General features: G+C 33.9%; 1 annotated feature.

Moving 5' to 3' along the window:
- Nucleotides 862–1,031: an enhancer, noted in NCBI's record as "experimental_80132 CRE fragment used in MPRA reporter constructs". NCBI's record gives its function as "activates a minimal promoter by MPRAs in K562 erythroleukemia cells, with activity observed for both the introgressed and non-introgressed 4:43356524 variant alleles {active_cell/tissue: K562}" and the evidence as "EXISTENCE:reporter gene assay evidence [ECO:0000049][PMID:34662402]".

Genomic DNA, 1,345 nt, shown 5'->3' on the forward strand with positions numbered 1-1,345 from the left:
ATCGTTTATCTGAATTAGTTCATTACATATTATTTTGGCTTGGGTATATGTACACAATGAAACAAATTGAAAAACTATACATAGATCTTACACAAAAATTATAGAACTATATGAAACTAATGCTAATGAGATTGTAACTGTAGTTGGTATTTCTGAGGAGAGTTCAGAGAACAGCTATCTAAGTGAAAGGTTCAATCATTAACACTTGGGTCAATATTCATAATGCAGTTACAATTTGTATTATTCTTTTTATGCCACCATATACAACTCTTATGGTGGTAATAAGAAAAAATTATAGTCATCTTTGCATTTCCTGAGCAAGAATTTTTATATTATGTATACCTGCTTAAAGATGGTAACAAATAACCTATTAATCACTGGTCAAATGAATAAAACTGACTTTGGGATGAGTTGGCATATAAAATAAAGATACAGAAATATGAATAAATTAATGTACACTGGAGGTTACTAGTAGTCAAGATGATAAAATCAAGAAAGAAATTGTTAAAAGTTAAATAGTGCCAGGAGTGGTGGCTCATGCCTGTAATCCCAGCACTTTGGGAAGCCGAAGTGGTCAGATCACCTGAGGTTAGGAGTTCAAGACCAGCCTGGTCAACATGGTGAAACCCTGTCTCTACTAAAAATACAAAATTAGCTGGGGGTAGTGGTGCACACCTGTAATCCCAGCTACTATAGGGACAGAAATCAGAGGCTCAGGCAGCTGATTTCTCAGGAGGCTGAGGCAGGAAAATCATCTGAACCCAGGAAGCGGAGGTTGCAGTGAACTGAGATTGTGCCACTAAACTTCAGCCTGGGCAACAAGAGCAAAACTCCATCTCAAAAACAGAAAACAAAAAAAGTTCAATAGCATTTTCTCAGTCATTTCTGTTAGAAGAAAAATATATTAATTTAATATTATAGATTTATTTCTAAAAACAACTTTACTGCTAAGAACCATGATTATTACTTAAGATAGATTTTCAGTTAGTAATATAAAATGTTCTTTTTTGCTTCTAAAAATGTTTAAGTAATCCTACACAAATTTTTTATTTGCTTTATAGATTTAAAAAATATAATGTTACTTGTTTTGTGTCTACCTTAATGGATATAATAGTTCTGCAAACAGGACATAGGCGTGATTGATACAGTTGGCATTTAAAAACTGCTTCTGACAATGAGGTCTGGATATATTACCTGGAATGTGTGCAGTTAGAAAGAAATAGATGGTCATTCTTGCATAAAGTTTTTGGTCGTCTGTGATTCGCAAACAGCAGGCTTTAAGGAGCTTTGAAACATGCGAAACTAAGCACTGTAGTAATAGTTTGCCTCCATGTGACCTAAGAGA

The sequence above is a fragment of the Homo sapiens genome, chromosome 4 (assembly GCF_000001405.40).
Source record: "Homo sapiens chromosome 4, GRCh38.p14 Primary Assembly".
NCBI classification, from domain to species: domain Eukaryota; kingdom Metazoa; phylum Chordata; class Mammalia; order Primates; family Hominidae; genus Homo; species Homo sapiens.